Raw genomic sequence first — 20,621 nt, forward strand, 5'->3', positions numbered from 1 at the left:
GTGGTACAGTAGTTGATAAAGGGTGATAGAAGAGTTTTCAGGTTTTGAGTGGTCGAGGATGCCCGGAGCCTGGAGCCCAGTGTACAGGAGGAGGAACAGAAGAGGCGTCTTAACAAATGGTACTGTGGCCAGGGGCGGTAGCTCACACCTGTAATCCCAACACTTTGGGAGGCCAAGGGGCAGATCACTTGAGGTCAGAAGTTTGAGACCAGCCTGGCCAACATGGTGAAACCTTGTCTCTACTACAAATACAAAAATTAGCCGGGTGCAGTCGTGTGCGCTGAGGCAGGAGAATCCCTTGAATCCGGGAGGCAGAGGTTGCAGTGAGCTGAGATCACACCACTGCACTCCAGCCTGGGTGATAGAGCAAGACTCCATCTCAAAAAAAAAAAAAAAAAAAAAAGTAAAAAGAAAAGAGAAATGCTGCCTGGGACCCAGAGGCATTTGTGAAGGCTTCTGGAAGAAACGTTTAAGAAGTGAACCCTATTCTCAGGAGCAGTAGGAAGCCGGTGGAGGGTGTTAGGTGGAGGAGTATGACGTGGTCAGTCGCGTGTTTTAGAGAGAGCATTCTGGGTGTTAGAGGAGTAGGGACTGAGGGGTGTGCTGTGTTTGTGGTTAGGATGCTGGAAGACCCTGAGGAAACCGTTGCAGCAATCCAGGAGAGAACAGTGCCCTCAACTATGAAGGAGTTAGGTAGTAGAAAATCCTTTTATTTTTAAAAAGTATTACATGTGGGCCGAGCACGGTGGCTCATGGCTGTAATCCCAGCACTTTGGGAGGCTGAGGCGGGCGGATCACTTAAGGTCAGGAGTTCAAGACCAGCCTGGCCAAATTGGTGAAACCTCATCTCTACTAAAAAAAAAAAATACAAACATTAGTCAGGCATGGTGGTGCATGCCTGTAGTCCCAGCTACTTGGGAGGCTGAGGCAAGAGAATCGCTTGAACCAAGGAGCTGGCGGTTGCAGTGAGCCAAGATTATGTCACTGTACTCCAGCCTGGGCAACAGAGCGAGACTCTGTCTCAAAAAACAAAAAAAAATTGCATGTGGTCACACAATTTGTTTTTCCCCCTTTTAAAGGACTTCCAAGTATCCAGGGAGTTGCACTAGTACAAGAATTGGAGCTTTTCCTTTAACAAATCATACATCTTAATTTTCTTCTCATAATACCACAATAGTTAATTAATAAAATAATCTTACTTATATTTGGGAAAGAAATTTGGGATTAAATAAAAGGCAGATTCTAATTATACTTGGATTAATATTGTTACTCCTACTAATCTCAAACTCCAAGAGTCAGAATCCCCCGAAGGGCTTGTTACAACACAGATTGCTGGCCCCACCCCCAAGTTTCTGATTCAGCTGGTCTGAGTTGAGATCAGAGCATTTGCATTTCTAACAACTTCCCAGGTGATGCCAATGATGCCGGTCGGGGACCACACTTTAAGAAGTGCTGCCTTAGAGGGTAGACGTGAGAAGCCTTGGGGATTTGGTTGCTCATGTAAAGGTAAGGGAGTGGGCAGAGACAAGGAGAATGTCCAGGTTTCTGGTCTGAGCACTAGGGTAGATAGAGGGTGATGCAATTCACACTGTGTGTAAAATTCACAATGAGGAGCAGGTTGTGGGGATGATTGGTTCAATTAAAATCCTACTGAATTTGAGGATACCTCTTTAAATATATACAAAAAGGCCATTAGTTTTTTGTATCTGAGGTCAGGAGAGAGAGCCTAGGAGAAGAGAGATTGACGACTCTTCAGTGTGTAGATGATACTTGAAGCCATTATGCTCTGGAAAGTGCCAGTAGAATGGGAAGCAAGAAGAGACTGACGTATAGATAAATACTTACCCAATAAGGGGAAAAAAGCTACAAAGAGAATGATAAAGACAAAAAAACAAGATATTTTTTAAAAAGAAAGAAGGAGTGTTAAGTGATATTCAGTGTTGCCAAGAAATCAAGATAAAGACTGAAAGCTACTGATAATACCCTAGTAGAGAGGAATTCCAGTGGAGCGCTGAGAGCGCTGCCCAGATTTCAGCAGGCTGAGGTTTGGAGACGAGGGGTGTAGGGTGTGGTGGGAAGATGGGAGGTGAAGTCAGTCCACGTGTGTGATTAGCTCTGTGCACTTGGGCTTTTTGCTCAGGTAGATGTATCGGAAGGTTAGTGAGGGTGGGAATTGAAGGTATCAGCCTAAAGGGGTGGTTTAAAGAGTAGGCTACAAAGTCAGAAGACCAGAGAGGGTGAATGGTAGAAAGGAGGGGAGCCAAGATTCTCAAGGTCTGGAGGCTGAGGGGGTTCGGATAGGATGCCTACAGGTATTATTGGGTAGATAAATTGGTTTCAGTTGGTAAGCTGCTGGAGGGTGTGGCCTGGTGAGTGGTCTGCTGGCTAAGATTGCGTGAAGGTGAGTGCTTGCATTGGCTTACTCTCACTTTCTTTCTTCCTCTGGGTGTGAATGATTTGCTAATCATGGTTCCCATTCCAGTGTGTAACCAGTTTGCAGGTCATTGTCAGTTTTTTTTGTACTGGTGCTTTAAAAAACAAACAAACTGTTTTCAGTATTTAAAAACACATTAAGCTTTCTATGTACCAGGCTCTGTTTTAAGCACTTTACAATTATTAACTGTTTTAATCTTCATTACAAGCCTGGTGAGATAGTTTTTATTTTCCTTTTGCAGAATACACTGAAGCACAAGAAAATTACGTTCATTTTCTTCCTTGCTTTGAAGTTCCATTACCAACACAAAACCTTCAACTGCATTTTTGCATTTCTGGCTATCTCTGACCCTAACTTGCCACAACACAGATCCACGCAGGTTGGAACACAAAACTGTTTCCTCCTTTGGATATATAGTCTGTAAAATGACTGCTGGGGCCTGCTGTTTTCCTGAGAGTGACTTCTCTTTCTGTGCTTTGTAATTTTACTTCATGATATTTACAGGATTTTATATGTAGAACAGCTCATGTCCAGGTTAAATTCTGTGGGGGGTGGGTGGGAAGTCTCTTCCATTTTGCAGAAGTTTTCAAGGTATTTCCTGATTTGCCTATCAAACATAGCCTATCCCAGGATATGGGAAGAATTTTCCTCTTTTAATTATTTCAAGCCATGTGTCTGTACAGTGTACATACTTGACTAATTTGCTGTTTTATGAGGGAATAATAAAAACACCAAAACTGAAGAAGACAAGTATTTAATATAGCCCAGTTCTCTTAAATTGGCAAGTGAAGACATTTGAGCTGAAAAGGTGAAGTGACTTTTCTGTCCAAAATAGCTTTGACAGAGCCAGAATCTTAGTCTCCTGCTGTTCAGGGCAGTTTGCTTTTTCCCCATGCTGCACTGACTTCTATTAGAAAAGGAAAATTTCTTTCATTTACAACAGAGTCTAACTTTCCTCATACTATTGGTAGTTAATGGCCCTGTACATTTGTTAAATGTAGTTGGGTAACAAGTATTTCTTTAACAAACTAATTACCTGACTTCTGGGTCAGGTGAATGTGTTATGAAGAATCCTGGACATTTTTAGAGATCTTTGAAAAAGATGTCAGGGATACTTTTAAGAAAATACTAGGGATTCAAAGATGGAAGACAGCCTAAGACAAGAGTGAAGCTTAGCATGAGTAATCTGCATGAAAAATCTGCATGAAAAATAACAGGCAACGGTATTTTATTTATTTATTTATTTATTTTTGGGATGGAGTCTCACTCTGTCATCCAGTTTGGAGTGCAATGGCACGATCTCGGCTCACTGCAAACTCCTCCCCCTGCAAACTCTGCCCCCACGGTTCTAGTGATTCTCCTACCTCAGCCTCCCGAGTAGCTGGGATTACAGGTGCCCGCCACCACACACAGCTACTTTTTTTATATTTTTAGTAGAGATGGGGTTTCACCATGTTGGCCAGGATGGTCTTGAACTCCTGACCTCAGGTAATCTGCCCACCTTGACCTCCCGAAGTGCTGGGATTACAGGCGTGAGCCACCACGCCCAGCCATATACTTTAAACATCATGGTGAAATGAGAACTTTGAAAACAAGAATTTTAAGTGTCTCCTATGTTTGCATTTTGTGCAATGAAATGAAGGGGACAGGATAGTTGCTGAGACTGGATTTCACTATTTACTCTTAGGACAGGAGAGAATGTGTCTATGTGGCACGTTGGACAGGGCTCACATGGTGCTTCTGAGGGAAGTCCTCAGAAGTTGGGTGGTTGAGTTGGGACATTCGGCCTGGGGGAACCAGATGCTCAAAGCCAAATCTGAATTGGAACCACAATTTCTAAGGTAATTTAGACTTAGTTCCCATGATGCTATGTGTGAAAAACTTGGCAACACTGATTCATTCTGAAGTCGCTACATGAGAGGAGGACAGTTTTGATCACAGACTGATGGAATGCACTTTGGATGCAGATCAGAAATATATCAGAGTCTCCCTGTAGCTTTGAAGTTACAAGGGTGCTGCATTTAAGCCTGTAGGTAGGAGTACGGCGGCTTCATTGTCATCAGTGTTTTCTGATATTGAGCTTCTCATGGTCCCAGTTAGGCTATATTGAGGCTCCTGCTGACCCAGTCAGGAGCATGAAAAGAGGGTGTCTTTGAAAAAAATAAAGCTGCTAGTGCAAAGCCAAAATATAACTGAGATTAAAGACTGTAATGAACCGAGCTATTTTGAATCTGAAAGTTACCTCAGGTTTTGGTAAATATTAATTGTATTTTGATTATATTTACTGAAGATGGATGGACAAGAAGACTTCTGAGCCATGGTCCCAGGGTCATAGGACAAGTGGAGAAAACCTTTTCATATTTATTTATTTATTTATTTATATTTTTTGGGGGGGGATAAAGGTCTTTATTGAACAACCTTATCTCACTCAGTAACAAAAGAGCAGGAGGCAACAATTCCCCCGGAAGTCTGCAGCTGTGTCCACCCTTGGCAGCAGGATGCATGGCCCACTGATACATCAGCTGCAGTTCAGAGCCCCTGGTGGTCACTTAGAGATCATAATTGGGGTTCTTCCGAAGGATAACAAAACTTTCCAGAATGGGGGTAACAGGAAGAAACTCCTCAGTGGCCAATTCTGCCCGTTCCCCGTGGGCCAACGACACTGGGGTTGTATGTGTCTGGAACCCTGTGATGGTCTTAGGCTTGCCAGCCTGGCCCACCACATCCACTGCCTGGCCTACATGGACAGACACTGGCAATGGCCTCAGCTCCTCATCAAACGTAACCAGCATTCGGGGCCGCATGGCAGCCACCAGCCCATACAATACATAGTGTGATTTGCCTAGAATAATGTTTCGAACATCCAGGAAAGAGAGAGGCACGGTGAGCAGCCCAGCCATGGCCACTGGACTCATAAGCTGCCAGTCACTGTGGTAGGGGCAGAGGGTAAGTGTACCCTTCCCTAAATGTGTCAGGCCCTGTGCCAAGTGCACCATGAAGAGGTCGTTGGGGTCCTTGGCATGATATTGAGCTAACTGGCGCAACATTGCAGCCAGACGGGCATTATTGGTACCACTGCCCACCATGCCCATGGCAAAAATGGAGTTATAGGAAACTTCTGGATCAGCATCATGAGATAATTTGCTTAGGGTATCCAGGATGTTGATTTGAAACAGAGATGAGGGCCAGTGCTAAAGGTACAGCCCTCCGGAGTGCAGGCTCCCCATATCTCAGCAAGTGGCCAAAGGTTCATAGTGCCGTCTCTGCACCAATCTCCCCCACAGCAATAAGGGCAATCCCCAGAACAGCCACTCCCTGATGTGCTCCCATGTCAGCAGGGGTTTCCTTTTTGTCCTTGTCCTTCTTTTCCTTCTTGCCTTTGTCTTCCTCCTTCTCTTTGGAGTCAAAGTGTTCGCTGCAAACGTGGAGCAGCTGCTGCACCTTCAGCACATTCCCAGAGCCTGCCTATGCACACACATCTACCAGTGTGTTGGCAAAACTGCGGAATGGCTCTGATGCAACCTCCAGTGCAGCCAGGATTGCCTCGATGGCCTCACCCTTCCCCAGGTGATTGAGACCCAGTCCAAGAGGAAGCCAACGAGCATAAGAGTCCTTGAGCTCAGTACTTCTCCCTGATGGTCTGAAGGATAGTGGAAGTTACATCTCCATTGCAGGACCCCACTGCTATCATTCCACAGGCTAGAGCTGTCACACCTGCCACCTCCATGCTGGACTTTGAATCTCCCATCACAGGCAGCAGCAGTGTTAGGACATCTTCATGATTTGAGCCAGCGTAGGCCAAGCCTAGCCCAAAGATGGAACCAAGTCTCATGGTGTTGCTGTTGTGGAGAACATAGTCTGAAAGCAGTCCCAGAGCAGGGACACACTCATTCCAGACCCCAGAGTTCACTATGCCACAGGCAAGAAGAATTCCTGACTTAATGTAGTCCTCAAAGGAGTACAGGTTACTTCTCAATCTGAATGAGGCCACCATCCACATCCCACAGCAGCAGCATCCCAACAGATGCAGCTGCACTCAACATTCCGTGGTCCTTGTTCTTGTAAAGCCATTTGTTGCCATCATCGTTAGCAGCTTGTCTTAAACAAAAGCTGCATTCACAAAGCCACTCACAAAAGAGGAGGCCAGGTTCATGCGGGCAGAGTCCACCTGAGAGCCACTGCCCCCAAACCTGTTGTTCTCTAGGTGGGTTTTGTAGATGTCATCAGGCACCTTGGGCTCCATGATGTCCAGCTCCCGAGCTAAGGCCAAGAAGTTGCTGTTGAGCTGTACATTGGACATGATCTCTGTCAGGTGCTCATACTCCTTGACATCTTCACTCAGCTCCAGGAACACCCCATGCCAGCCTAGCATGAATGCCATCTGTTTCTGTACTACCACATCCTCGCAGGATGTGAAGATGTCTTCTACCAGCTCCATGTCATTGCGCATCAGTGCCAATCTCAGAGCTTTAGGAAAGCGGCTAAACTTTCAGAACACACCCAGGGCACAACGCAGTAGGACTGAGTTCTCAGGCTCAGACACATAATTCACACAACTGGTGAGATAAAGGCAGACCTTTGTGTATGCATTCTCATCAATGTCCTTCTCCAGCATGTCCACCTGCTCAATTTCCATAAGGTCACAGGCCTCATGCTCTGCGTCGTGGACCATGTTGTAGGGGACGATTTCCTTCACCAGAGTGAGCAGTGGCTCCTGCTGGACCTTCTTTGCATCATCCAGCTCCTGCCACTCCTTAGCCACTTCTCCTGCCAGGTGCCTGATATACTCATGACTCCATGATGCCAATTCCTTCTGGGAGCCTACTAGCCGATACTTGAGGCACTCGCACTCCCCACTCATGGTCATGGCCAAAACAGAGATGATGTCAGCAGCAAAATGCTCATTCTCCCCAGGGGCCATGTTCTCATACATTTCCTTCAGTTTGCCATAGTGTGGACGCAGACATTTGAGAGACTTGGTCACCAAAGTCATGGAAGTTGTAGAAGAACGAATCTGCCTTCGCATTTCCTCCAGCGCTGGTCGATACAGGGATGTGTCCTTCTCCCCGAGTCATTCCACAAGCATCTCCAGTTCATCTTGAAGCTGTTTATCTTCCTCAGACAGCTCCTGTTCTTTGTCCTTGTCCCCGGCATCCCGCCGCTCCTTGCCGCTTGGCTTCTCATCCATGCCGCTGAGGGCCGCCGCTGGGGGCTGCTGGGACTGCACCAGCGTCTTGTCCCATCCTCCCTCCTCCATCTCCGCTGCCACTGCCCTTTATTTTTTAATTTTCATGGATACATAGTAATATATATATGTATATATTATAGGGGAAAAACTTTTTCTTTAGTATTGTATTTGACATGCACTTAATGTTTTTACTACAATGAGGCAATTTTTCTTTTTCTTTTTCTATTTTTTTTTTTTTTTTTTTTTTTTTTTTTGAGACAGGGTCTTGCTCTGTGACCCAGGCTGGAGTACAATGGTGCAATTATATGACACTGCAGCTTCAGACTGTCGAGTAGCGAGGACCACAGGCACGTACCACCACACTCTGCTAATTTTTATATTTTTTGTAGAGACAGGTTCTGGCTATGTTGCACAGGCTGGTCTTGAACTCTTGGCCTCAAGTGATCCTCCTGCCTCAGCCTCCCAAAGTGCTGGAATCACAGGTATGAGTGAGGGTGCTGGGACAATGAGGCGATTTTCATATTCAAAATAGATGGCAGCCAAAGCCAGGCCAAGGGTCGAGGCAGAAATCTTGCATTATGTGTGTTAGAATGCTACAACATTTGACACAATAGCCTGCAGACAGGGGTGCTCAGGAGACAGGTTTTGAGCTTCATGCATCAATTAGCTGGTCTTTGAGGGTGACATCTGTTGGTACATATAATCACTCTTCTTCCCAGGTGTAGATTGTGTAACTGAAGGATAGGGTCTACATATGCCACGTTCAAAGTGATTTAAAAAAATAGTATGGCTGGGCTCAGTGGATCAGTGGATCACACCTGTAATCCCAGTACTTTGGGAGGCCAAGGTGGGCAGATCACGAGGTCAGGAGATCGAGACCATCCTGGCTAACATGGAGAAACCCCGTCTCTACTAAAAAAAAAAAAAAAATACAAAAAATTAGCCAGACTTGGTGGTATGTGCCTATAGTCCCAGTTACTTGGGAGGCTGAGGCAGGAGAATTGCTTGAACCCAGGAGGCGGAGGTTGCAGTGAGCTGAGATTGTGCCACTGCACTCCAGCCTGGGCGACAGAGCAAGACTCTGTCTCAAAAAAAAAAAAAAAAAAAAATAGTATGGCCAGGCACAGTGGCTCACACTTGTAATCCCAGCACTTTGGGAGGCCAAGGCGGGCAGATCACTTGAGGTCAGGAGTTCAAGACCAGGCTGGCCAACATGGTGAAACCCCATCTCTACTAAAAATACAAAAAATTAGCCGGGCGTGGTGGCATGCAACTCTAGTCCCAGTTACTTGAGAGGCTGAGATGGGAGAATTGCTTGAACCCAGGAGGTGGATGTTGCAGTGAGCTGAGACTTTGTCTCAATAAATAAATAAATGAATAAATAATAAAAATTTAAAAAATAGTATATAGTGAAGAGTAGAGTGCCTGATTTACTATTTAGTAATAAAACATTCACTTTCCTTATAGACTGTTTTGAATTTATTTAGGAACTTGCCCCCAAATAAGTGAACACCAATCTAGTATCATTATTGTACCATTTCACTTGACAGTTGTTACAGAGTCTGTTCTTTAAAGTGGAATCTTGATAGAATGGGAATTTCAGACTCATTTTGGAGATAAGCTGTAAAGAACTAATGGTGGATGATGTTCTCCTCAGGGTAAGGTGGAAGACGGGGCAATTAGACCCCGTGGTGAATGCAGATTAATGAATCTAAGTGAGTCTATTTGGTTTTTTCAGTTTAGTTGGCCGGAGTGGAGGAGCAAGTCATAGAAAATTGGGGCTTTTTTTTCTTGTTTCTTCATGCCATGCCATTCAGTACTGACTGAGGGTCAAGCACTGTGCTAAGTACTTAACATGATCTCTTCAATTAGTTGGTCTTAACTTAAATAACTCAGTTAATCTGACTTCCATTTTCTGATGTGAAAACTGAGACTTAGGGTAATTTGCCCAGAGTCAGTTGTTTTGTAAGCGGCAGAAGATGGAATTCCAACCCACGAAGGCTGACTCTACATCTTGTGCCCTTTCTCCACCCTCCATAGCCAATCTGTTGGCCTTTTTTCTCTTTCTGTTGCCATCACTCTGGTCTAAGCCGCCTTAGTGTTGAGGCTGGTCTCAAGTGGTAGTCCCCTAATTAGTCTCCATGGGTCCACTCTGCTCTCTTTAGTTCCTTCTCCACAAAAGAGTGATTTTTTTTTTCTTTTTAAAAGATAGGATTTCTCTCTGTCACCCAGGCTGGAGTGCAATGGAACAATCATAGCTCACTGCAGCCTGGAATCCCTGCACTCAAGTGATCCTCCCACCTGGGCCCCCCAAAGTGCTAGGAATACAGGTGTGAGCCATTGCACCTGGCCTTGATTTTTAAAAACCAAGTCCAATCTTGTTACACTTGGAGATGCTTTACCCTAGGGTCATACTGTAGCTCTTATTTATGACCTACAGGGACCTCCCTTAGCTACCTGCTGGCTAGGTCGGCAGCTTCATCTTATGCTATTCTGTGTTACTGTGCTGCCTGGGAATATTTATAAAATGCAAATTCTTGGGCTCTGCTTCTGGAAAGTCTGATTGACTAGATCTGAGACTGGGCTCTGGGAATATGAATTTTTGATAAGCCAGATTCGGGAAAGTCTTGCTCTAGAAAGTGTGTTCTGTGAATATTAGTTGCTACTTCGCCATGGAAGCTGCTCTTGTCTTTTGTTCTTTCACTCACCTTTGAATTCTCAAGAGTTACAGCTCTGCTCATGAGAGATGCTGTGCCAGAGCTAAGCCTTGTCAACAAAACGTTTTCCCTGGATTGATCATTATGGCTTTGGTTAACTTCTTGTGTGTAACTGAGAAACTGCTCAGCCAAGAGAGACGGAGAGACACACGGAGAGAGACAGAGACAGGGACAGAGACAGAGAGAGAGAGACAGAGACAGAGAGACAGAGACCGAGAGAGACAAACAGAGATAGACAGAGAGACAGAGATAGACAGAGACAGAGACAGACAGAGACAGAGAGAGAGAGACAGACAGAAACAGAGAGACAGACAGATAAAGAGAGAAAGACAGAGAGACAGAGACAGAGAGAGAGAGAGAAAGACAGAGAGAAAGACAGAGAGACAGAGACAGACAGGAAAGATACAGAAAGAGAGAGACAGAGAGAGAGAAAGAGAGAGAGACAGGGAGAGAAAGAAAAAGAGAGAGAGAAAGAGAGGAGAGAGAGAAGGAGAGAGAGAGACTGAGACTGAGTTTGTCTCCAATTGGGGTTAACAGAATTTTTGGTGGAATTAACACCACTTTTTATTTCTTACAAGAACTTTCTCTATTTAATTTTCTCTATTTGAAAAAACTTGAGATGTAAAATGCAGATGTTCATACCCAGGTATGTTGCTGAATAAAAACTCTGTATATTGGCCAGGTGCAGTGGCTCGCGCCTGTAATCCCAGCACTTTGGGAGGCCGAGGCGGGCGGATCACGAGGTCAGGAGATCGAGACCATCCTGGCTAACATGGTGAAACCCCTAAAAATACAAAAAATTAGCCGGGCATGGTGACGAGTGCCTGTAGTCCCAGCTACTCAGGAGGCTGAGGCAGGAGAATGGCGTGAACCCGGGAGGCGGAGCTTGCAGTGAGTCTAGATCGCGCCACTGCACTCCAGCCTGGGTGACAGAGCGAGACTCCGTCTCAAAAAAAAATAAATAAATAAATAAAAAACTCGTATATTAAATGTAATCTTATTCAATATATACTGTACTCATAAGCCTAAACCCCAGGGTTTTTCTTCCTTTATATATTAACATGTGTTTTGAAATGTGCTTTTGAAATACAAGGGGTTGTAAAACATTGAACCTGCAGAATGTGGACAATAAAGTAACCATTTTTGTACTTATCAAAGTTTCAAACAACCCTAGAAAAATTTGGAAAACTTTTGCAAGAATCTTGTCTGTAAGGTTTATATTCTATATTAAGAAGTTATTATGTAATGCACATACAGATACAGATAAAATTACTTTTCACAGATTAATTTTTACAGATATTTTTATCTGCCTTTATCACCAAGTATTTGATTTGTAAGTTGTTTAGGTGCACCTCATATGTGTGCATAAAATGAACAAGGTACTATTCATGTCACATCCATTTCAGTTCTTTGTTGTTGGTTAATTCTAGCATTTGTACTGCATTAAATTATTTTATTGCAGTGTTGATTTTTATTTTCCCCATTTGCACTGAAGAGAATATAAGGTTGACATTTCTTTTTGGCATGTTTCTAAGCTCAGCAAATATAGCAACCGAGGTGCTAAATTTCAGTCAAAAATAGAACTCCTCAGCCTCATTTTGGAAATTTCTTCTCATTCATGCACAGGGATTCTAGTGTCAAATTTTTAGCTCTGCCCTCTGCTGGTCATTTCAAATTATGCAGAAGAATTCTCAGAACAGTATTCATTTCCAAATATAAGGAGTTACAGGAAGGCGTCTTAAAATTTCACCACTGCAAAATATATTCACAGGAAGATTAATTGTAATAGCTTTACATTTTAAAATCAAAAATTCTTTGAGGTAAATTTTTGAAATTAGAGAGTAGCGAAAGCTTTATAGATTTTTCAAGAAAATAGCATTTGTGTTTTTTTTCCCCTGAGTACAGGTGAAAACAAATATGGTTATAGTTAAGGTATCAATAACATTAGAGAAAACAATCTGATATGTATAAATGCTAATGTTGATTAAGTATTTTTTGTCCTCTTCTGATACAGCACTTACTCCATTAAAGTCTCTTGATTGGTTAAAATAACACAACTTCCTTTTCAGATAAAACAGATTTTTAATTAAGTTGTATTTGCTAAAGGTTATATGCTCCTTTAGCTAAATGATTAACCCTTATTGAAATATGTTTTCACTTTTAAGGATTTGAACAAAAATTTTGTACAGAAGCTTACATCAAGATACAAAGATCATGGATGCTTATAGATACGATGAACTGCAAATGAAAATTGAGGTCAGCCAGCCATCAGACATAGTCAACAAATCACGCGGGTGGAAACTGGGTAGTCTCTTCTGTGTACAGAAGGAAAATGATTATTGATGAAACAAGACATCCATCCCATGTGCTCATTAATTATGAACAAGAAACAATGTCTGTAAACACAAGGAAAGTTTTTACAACGCGAGACCAAGAAAAACAGGGAAGGCATATCTTGCTCACAGCCTTGTTAGATCAAGGCTTTAATTAAGGTCAAGCTGATATTTAATAATAATTTGAGACTAAAGTCCAGCTAAAGAGTACTGAGCTAGGTGATGAAAATTGGTTTTGTTTCTCAACTCTTACCAACGGTGTGGCCTCACCAGTAAAAGTCAAACTAAATCCCTCTAGTGACCCGTTTAATGCTAATAGTCACCACTTTTTGAGCTTTGCTGAGGGTTTTACACATGTCATTTGATCTTTAACACCCCTTGGAGGTTTTGTTAGGTGTATTTTTTATAAAGAGACTGGCCATAATAATTAGTAGAGAAGCATTGAGATCTAGGTATGATAAACTCTGAAATGCCTGCTCTTAACTGCTGTGTCTATTATGCAGAAGTCCCTAAATGTATTTTGGAATAATCATTACAGGCTCTACATCCACACATGTTAGCATTTCACAGGTATGTTCAAAGGCAAAGAGATGATAGGTTTTCACAGTAACCTTCCCTATATCCATAGCTTCAGAAAATAAGAAATATATGGTAGAAATTAACCATCCTTCTATGGGTCTATACATGGATATTATGGATAAATATCCTGGTTTCTAAGTCCCAATTGTTATGTTGATTTAAGGGCACGGTCTTTAGAAATGACTTGTTCAAATTCTCTACTTTATTCTATTGAAGTATATTTGGGCTCAGTAGATCAAAGCACTGCACGTGAAGGCCTACCTCATTTTTAAATGATGATAATAATAACTGTAGCCATAATGGCTATATAGTCTACTAATGGGTGAGTCAGTGCCCATTCTAAGCACCAACAAGTCACCCTAGTCTATAAGTAGCAGAGCATGTCACAGATCTTAATCTCAGTTCCAGCCTGTTTCCTGTGCTATCCGTGGTTGGTGACAGATCTTAAGGCTGAGCCCTTATTTTAGCTTTTCTTTCTGTGAAAAGAGACCCAACAGGCAGCTTTCATATATGTGCTACTTCTGCTTGGTATGCGCTTTCCTGGGGCGAATTGTTCAAACCTCACCTTCAGCTAACACCTTTGAGAAAATGTAAGCTCCGGTGTGGGCGAAGTCTGGATTCTGAGAGACAGGAGTCTTAGAAAATTGTGAATGCAGTTTCGTACAGTATTTCTTTTTGCTTAAGAAAATCTTTATGATAGGCATTTAGATGTTGCCCCACTCAGCTTGAGACTTGCTGTCTAATTTTAAGACTGAATCACTGAAAAGTGTAAGTCTACCTCTGAAGGAGCAGAACTCTCTGTGTGGCAAAGCAGAGGGGCCAATGGACTTTTTCTTTATTTTATTTTTTTGAGATAGGGTCTTGCTCTGTTGTCCAGACTGGAGTGCAATGCTGCGATCATAGCTCACTGCAGCCACAAACTCCTAGGTTCAAGCGATCCTCCCACCTTAACCTCCCTAGTAGCTGGGACTGCAGATGTGCACCACCTAGCCAATCTAATTTTTTTTCTTTAAATAGAGATGGGGTTTTGCCATGTTGCCCAGGCTGCTCTCGAACTCCTGGGCTCAAGCAATCCTCCTGCTTCAGCTGGCCTCCCAAAGTGCTGGGATTACAGGCGTGAACCACCATGCCCGGCCTCCAATGGACTTTTTAATGCATGTCACTGTTCTAAATTAAACCCTGCTATCAGCACTTTTCATATTCCCTTTTCTTATTCCTTCTTGAGGGTAGGTACCACCATGGGCTCTGGCATTTACAGAATACACATAATTCTCCTCTCTGTCTAATCCAGTCCTGATCCTCTGTCTTCTCTAGGCCCTGTCTAGAATCTGTGTGCTCTTCACTGGACCCTTTTGATACTCCGAGCTCATTTAAAAAAAAAAAAGAAAAAGCCTTACATTCCTTTTATTCCTTCCCTTAACTCAAAATTGGTTTCCTTTTATAAGGCTATAGTTTTTGAAATTCACCCCACTCTAATTCCTTCCTTTGGATCTTCTGCTCTCATAGAGCCAGGAGGAGGATGTGTGTGTATGTGGGGGTGGGTTCCATATGCTTAACCTTTTGTTTCCGTTTCCAAATTTGTCCTAGCAGTAGCATCATGCGGTAGACTCATACATACCACGCTCTCTTCTTCTTACGCTTGTTCCCATAATTGCTGGAGAACCTCAGCACAGTGGCCCTGTTGCCTGTGCCTACTTCTGGGATGAGCTAGGACTAAGCAGAGACAACATCCCGAGAAACTAATGTCATGCTAGAATACCAATCTATGAAATTCTATTTCTGGAACCTTTGCTGCTCTACTAAGCAGATCCATGCAGAGAGAAGCCTGCCACTGTCTTGGCATTTCTCAGCCTTTCAACCCTGTGGAGTGTCTATTTTGCAAGTCACCACCTCCTTCTCCCTTACTCAGAGCCATCAGTGATTATTGGAGACAGCTACAAAACAGTGGCAATAAAATCCACTAAACTTTCCAGAGGCCCAGTCTGAGTTGTTCACCCTGTAGCCCTGTGATTTTGGGTGAGTTACTTATTTGAGACTTAGTGTTTTCATCTGTAAGATGAGGAAAATAGAAGAGTTTTGGTGAGGATCAGATAAAATATCAGGCACTTATGTAAGAGAACATTATAGAGTAAGTGTGGTGGAATCCCCAGGCGGGTCTGAGTCATGGCTTTGCTGAGTGATTGCTGTGTGGCACTGGCTGGCTCATTTGTCCTCCGTGGGCTTGGTTCCTAGTTGTTAAGATGGAGGGTTAGTGATATTTACAACGTGGGCTGTAAAGGGGCTATGGCAATGCCCAGCATAGAACGAGGGCTGAGTAGATGCTAGAGCCATTTTATCATCATTTTTGTTGTTATATTCATGGCAGGACTTTTTCGGGCAAAATTCTTATATCATCTCATTTAATCTCACTCGGTTCTCAAAAAGTACCCATTGAGCTGGTTGTATTTACAGTTTTTTTTTTTTTTTTTTTGACAGGCTTGCAGTTGTACGATCATAGCTCACTGCAGCCTTAACCTCCTGGGCTGAAGTGATCTCCCACCTAAACCTCTCTAGTAGCTGGTACCACAGGTGCATGCCACCATGCTTGGCAAATTTATTTATTTATTTTTTTGTAGAGACGAGGTCTCACTATGTTGTCCAGGCTGGCCTTGAACTCAGGGCTCAAGTGATCCTCTCAGCTCGAATTCCCAAAGTGTTGGGATTACAAGTGTGAGCCACTGCTCCCAGCCTGTATGATGCTATTTTATAGGCCAGGGACTAAAGGTTCTCACAGGTAAATTTCTAGAAAAAGATGGAGTTATGATTTAAGCCCAGAAGTTGCCTCATTTAAATTTCATGAACTTTTTGTTGGATTATGATAAAGCTAACATGCAGTAAGGGGTTCAAGAAGTGTGAACACCAGCCGGGCGCTGTGGCTCACACATGTAATCCTAGCATTTGGGAGGCCAAGGAGGGTGGATCACCTGAGTTCAGGGGTTCGAGACCAGCCTGGCCAACATGGCACAACCCTGCCTCTACTGAAAATACAAAAATCAGCCAGGTGTGGTGGTGCATGCCTGTAATCACAGCTACTCCGGAGGCAGGAGAATCTCTTGAACCCAGGAGGCGGAGGTTGCAGTGAGCCGAGATCAGGCCACTGCACTCCAGCCTGGGCGACAAAGTGAGATTCCATCAAAAAAAAAAAAAAAAAAAAAAAAGTGTTACTACCTACAAGGCCTACCCAGTTAAGAATAATTCATGTCCGTGTCTTAGGAGAACGTACGTTCTCACTGGAGAGAGGGAGCAGACAGACAATGCATCAAAGAGAATTCTCAGTTCAAACACAGTCAATGCTGACACAGATAGTACAGAGTGCTCTGGGAACACAGATGAAGCAATAAACACCCGTGTAAGTGGAGGAAGGCCCCATTCTAGAAAGGTGGCATTTGAAGTGGCACATGAAGGTTAAGTAGGAGTTTTCAAGGTGGAAAAGACAGGTTGTTCTTGGCGGAAAACCTGGTTTCTGCCTCAGAGATACGGTTGGCTGTGAAAGATCCTGACACATTGAAGAAATGGTGAGCAATTCCAGTTGGCAGAAACCAAGGTGGGCTGTGAAGGATGGGCGGAGACAGGGATGGGTGATACCTGTTACTAAGGGCATCTTCATAGGCACATCCGCAATCCCAATTCCATCTCAGAATCATTAGAGGTCTCAAATATTTGTATTTACTCATTTTTAAAGGCTAGTCAAGTGTAGTAGTGAGAAGAAGGAAAGAGTAGAACAAGGAATTTGATCTGTAACTGATTCTGAACAATCAATTGAAATCAATTGAAATAACTCACTACCCTTGGACCAACCAGAGATCTCAGATTTGTAGTAGCAAGAAAGGAATATGCTAATTTTTTCCTTCCTTCCTTCCTTCCTTCCTTCCCTCCCTCCCTCCCTCTTTCTTTCTTCCCTCCCCTCCCTTCCCCTCCCCTCCTTTTCTTTTCAACAGGGCCTTGTGCTGTCGTCCAGGCTGGAGTGCAGTGTTGTGATCATGGCTCACTGCAGCCTCAACCTTTCAGACTTAAGCAATCCCCCCCCCGACCTTGACCTCCTGAGTAGCTAGGACTAGAGTTGCACACCACCACACCCTGCTAATTTTTGTATTTCTTGTAAAGACAGGGTTTCATCATGTTGCCCAGGCTAGTCTCAAACTCCTGAGCTCAAGCAATCCACCCACCTTGGCTGCCAAAATGCTGGGATTACAGGTGTGAGCAACCACACCTGGCCACTAATCTTTGCTTTCGATGAAGATGATTTTCTGCATAGTGGAGAGCTAGCTACCAGGATGTGGTAATCATGAAAGAGACTATAAATCTTGTTTTAATTTTTATTTTTTTAACCAATCTCATTCTGCTGCCCAGGCTGGAGTACAGTGGTGCAATCATGGCTTACTGTAGCTTCTAACTCCTAGCCTCGAGTGATTCTCCCACTTCCACCTCCATCTCTGGAATAGCTGGGATTAGATGTGCACTGCCATGCCTAGCTATTTTTAAATATTTTGTAGAGACAGGGTCTAGCTATGTTGCCAGGTTGGTCTCAAACTCCTGGCCTCAAGTGTTCCTCCTGCCTTGGCCTCTCAAAGTGCTGGGATTATGTGAGCCACTGTGCCTGGCCTATCAAAATGTTTTTAAACTAGATTTGAGAGCCCAAAGTGATTGAGATGAATAAGAAACACATTCTACAGACATATCTGAGATGGAAATAATTCATTTTGGTGACTTACTAGATTTAGAAGGTGTGAGGTTGTCAAAGATCAAGGTTTCTAGTTTTGCAGATTAGATGGGCAATTCTTTATTGAGTAATGTTTTTTAATAATTCATGCTCTTAATTTTTGATGAGCAATGCACAATTTGTTAGTATATAAAAGGACTCTTTAGCTATATCATTAAAAAAAAAACTGACCATCTGGACTGGCACTTCAAAATTAGATACTTTTTTTTTTTTTTAATAATGACTAAAACTTGGAATTTTTATAAATATATATCACCGTAAAGGGACAGACGTGGTGGCTCACTCCTGTAATCCTAGCACTTTAGGAGCCTGAGGCAGGAGAATCCCTTGAGCCTAGGAGTTTGAAACCACCTGAGGCAACATAGTCAGACTCTGTCTCTACTAAACAACAACAACAACAACAAAAAGTCAGCCAGGCACAGTGGTGCATACCTATAGTCCCAGCTACTAGGAAGGCTGAAGCGGGAGGATCACTTGAGCCAGGAGTAGGAGGCCGAAGTGTGCTATGATTGCACCACTGCACTCTAGCCTGAGCAACAGAGTAAGACCCTGTCAACAACAACAACAGCAAGAAGTATGTCATTGAAAACAGCCTCATGCAGAGGGAAATGTTCAGCTGGGTTTGAGGCAGATAAAAAAAATCCATTTGTTTAAACTCCAAACCATTCACTACTTCCGAAAATTTATTTTAGGATACTTAAAATTTATTGATTGCCTTCTCTTAAGATGTCTCGGCAGAGGCATTTCCTTTTAATTCATCCATGTTGCTCTTGTTACATTTCCAAAGGAAGTGCTACAGAGGTAATGCAGAGTCAGGAAACTGGTTCCAGTAACGCTGTGAAGGGAGTGAGGGCAGGGTTTAGTCTCTGAAATAGACTGTGCACTTGCTTCACAAGAGGGATTTTTTCTCTCCAACAGCTGAGTTAGAGCAGGCTAAGGTGGTGGGCTGAAATCCTAGTTGGCCCTAGGATGGTAAGAGAAAGCATCCACTCTTGTGATGGGACGGAATTATGCAAAGTAGAAAAGGTTTGTCAGGACCTGTCTCCAGAAAGGATCAAGCAGAATGCATTGACCAAGAAGATGGAATTTGAACATCTACAGGTTAGTAGGAATCACTGAGGAAGTGGGATATGTTAGATTAATAGATGCAATTCATTAATCGCCTGAATTATAATATACAGGAAAGACAAGAAGAAAGAAAAATAAGATCTAGAAACAAAGAGGATTTACGTTGCTATTTGAGCAAGCTTTTGAAAGCTTTAGGAAGAGTGGACAGAATAATAGAATTATTCAATTTAAATGGATTTACTCTTAATTGTACTTGCTGATATCTAGAAAATGAAAGTTAAGAAAAAAACTTTATTTCTTAGCAATAAAAGGCATTTAACTATTGACTTTAAAAAGTCTACCGCACAGCTTACATTATTTAATATGACAAATTATTGTTTCCTCTACAGTGCTGTGTTAATAGCTAATACTTTATATAGCTACCTTCTGAAGCTGTAGAGAGGCTTATAACTTTAACGTTTCATGCTGACATTTAGTTGATCCTAGTTTATCTGGTATAAAGTAGTTGCTCACAATTAATTACTCAAGAACTGAGCTTCGTGTATGTCTGTGGTAGAAATCTGTGGGAGTATGTGAGTTCATTAAAACCGTGCTTTCCTAGTCATTGCTATTAGTTTAACGCTTTCCTTGAAATATCAGTCACTGAGAGAAATAATAGCTTCTGTTATGGCTCTGCACAGCTGTACTGAAAGATTTTGTTTTCACTTTTCAGAAGTATTAGAAAAGTTGCCTCCATGTCTGGGTTATCTGAAGGTGAAACCAGTCAATGATTATAATAACTTCTTTTTTAATTTAGAAGGGAAATAAAGGAAGGAAGGGGAGAAAAGGAAGTAATGAAGTGGGGGAAAGGAAGGAATGAAGGAAGGAAAGAAGCAATATTAACTATAGTAACTGTAGTTGGTACTATTTATGGAACACTTGATATTTCAGGCATTATGATTTGCAAAAATTATCTCATAATATCCCCATTTTACAGAGGGAAAATTGAGGTTCAGGGAGATTAACTATTCAAGACTGGCACTTCAAAATTAGATACTTTTTTTAAAAAAATGACTAAAACTTGGAATTTTTATAAATATATATCACTGAAAAGGGCCAGACGTGGTGGCTCACTCCTGTAATCCTAGCACTTTAGGAGCCTGAGGCAGGAGAATCACTTGAGCCTAGGAGTTTGAAACCAGCTGAGGCAACATAGTCAGACTCTGTCTCTACTAAAAAAAAAAAAAAAAAAAAGTCAGCCAGGCACAGTGGTACACACCTATAGTCCCAGCTACTTGGAAGGCTGAGGCCTTCCAGGATTTAAAATTAATTTTTTAAATTCTAAGAGCATCCCCTAATCCCCATAAGATCCTACCTCTCTCATTTTTTTTTCTTGCAGCTGGATAATGTTAGAAGATGTGTTAAATATTTAATCCAGCCGGAATGCCAAGTTAGATTCAGCTTGGATTTGAAAAACAAAACCAAACCAAAAAGAAAACCACTGGTTTTCAAGGCCTCAGAGCATAAGCTTTGTGTATTACAGGAAAGCTTCTATGCTTGGCTG

General features: G+C 42.7%; 1 protein-coding gene and 1 pseudogene across 8 annotated transcripts in view; one reads left to right on the forward strand and one right to left on the reverse strand.

Moving 5' to 3' along the window:
• Positions 1 to 20,621, forward strand: part of FMN2 (formin 2) — a 383,305-nt gene that overhangs the window by 45,801 nt on the left and 316,883 nt on the right. The window contains exon 1 of one of the 8 annotated variants that reach the window (XM_017001841.3): positions 2,109 to 2,813. The exons of the other annotated variants lie outside the window; for them this stretch is intronic. The gene's annotated coding sequence lies outside the window, so the exon portion shown is untranslated. Of the gene's footprint in view, positions 1 to 2,108; positions 2,814 to 20,621 lie in introns of those variants that run through there. 8 annotated transcript variants of the gene reach the window in all.
• PSMD2P1 (proteasome 26S subunit, non-ATPase, 2 pseudogene 1) lies at positions 4,827 to 7,336 on the reverse strand (annotated as a pseudogene).

The sequence above is a fragment of the Homo sapiens genome, chromosome 1 (assembly GCF_000001405.40).
Source record: "Homo sapiens chromosome 1, GRCh38.p14 Primary Assembly".
Lineage (NCBI taxonomy): Eukaryota > Metazoa > Chordata > Mammalia > Primates > Hominidae > Homo > Homo sapiens.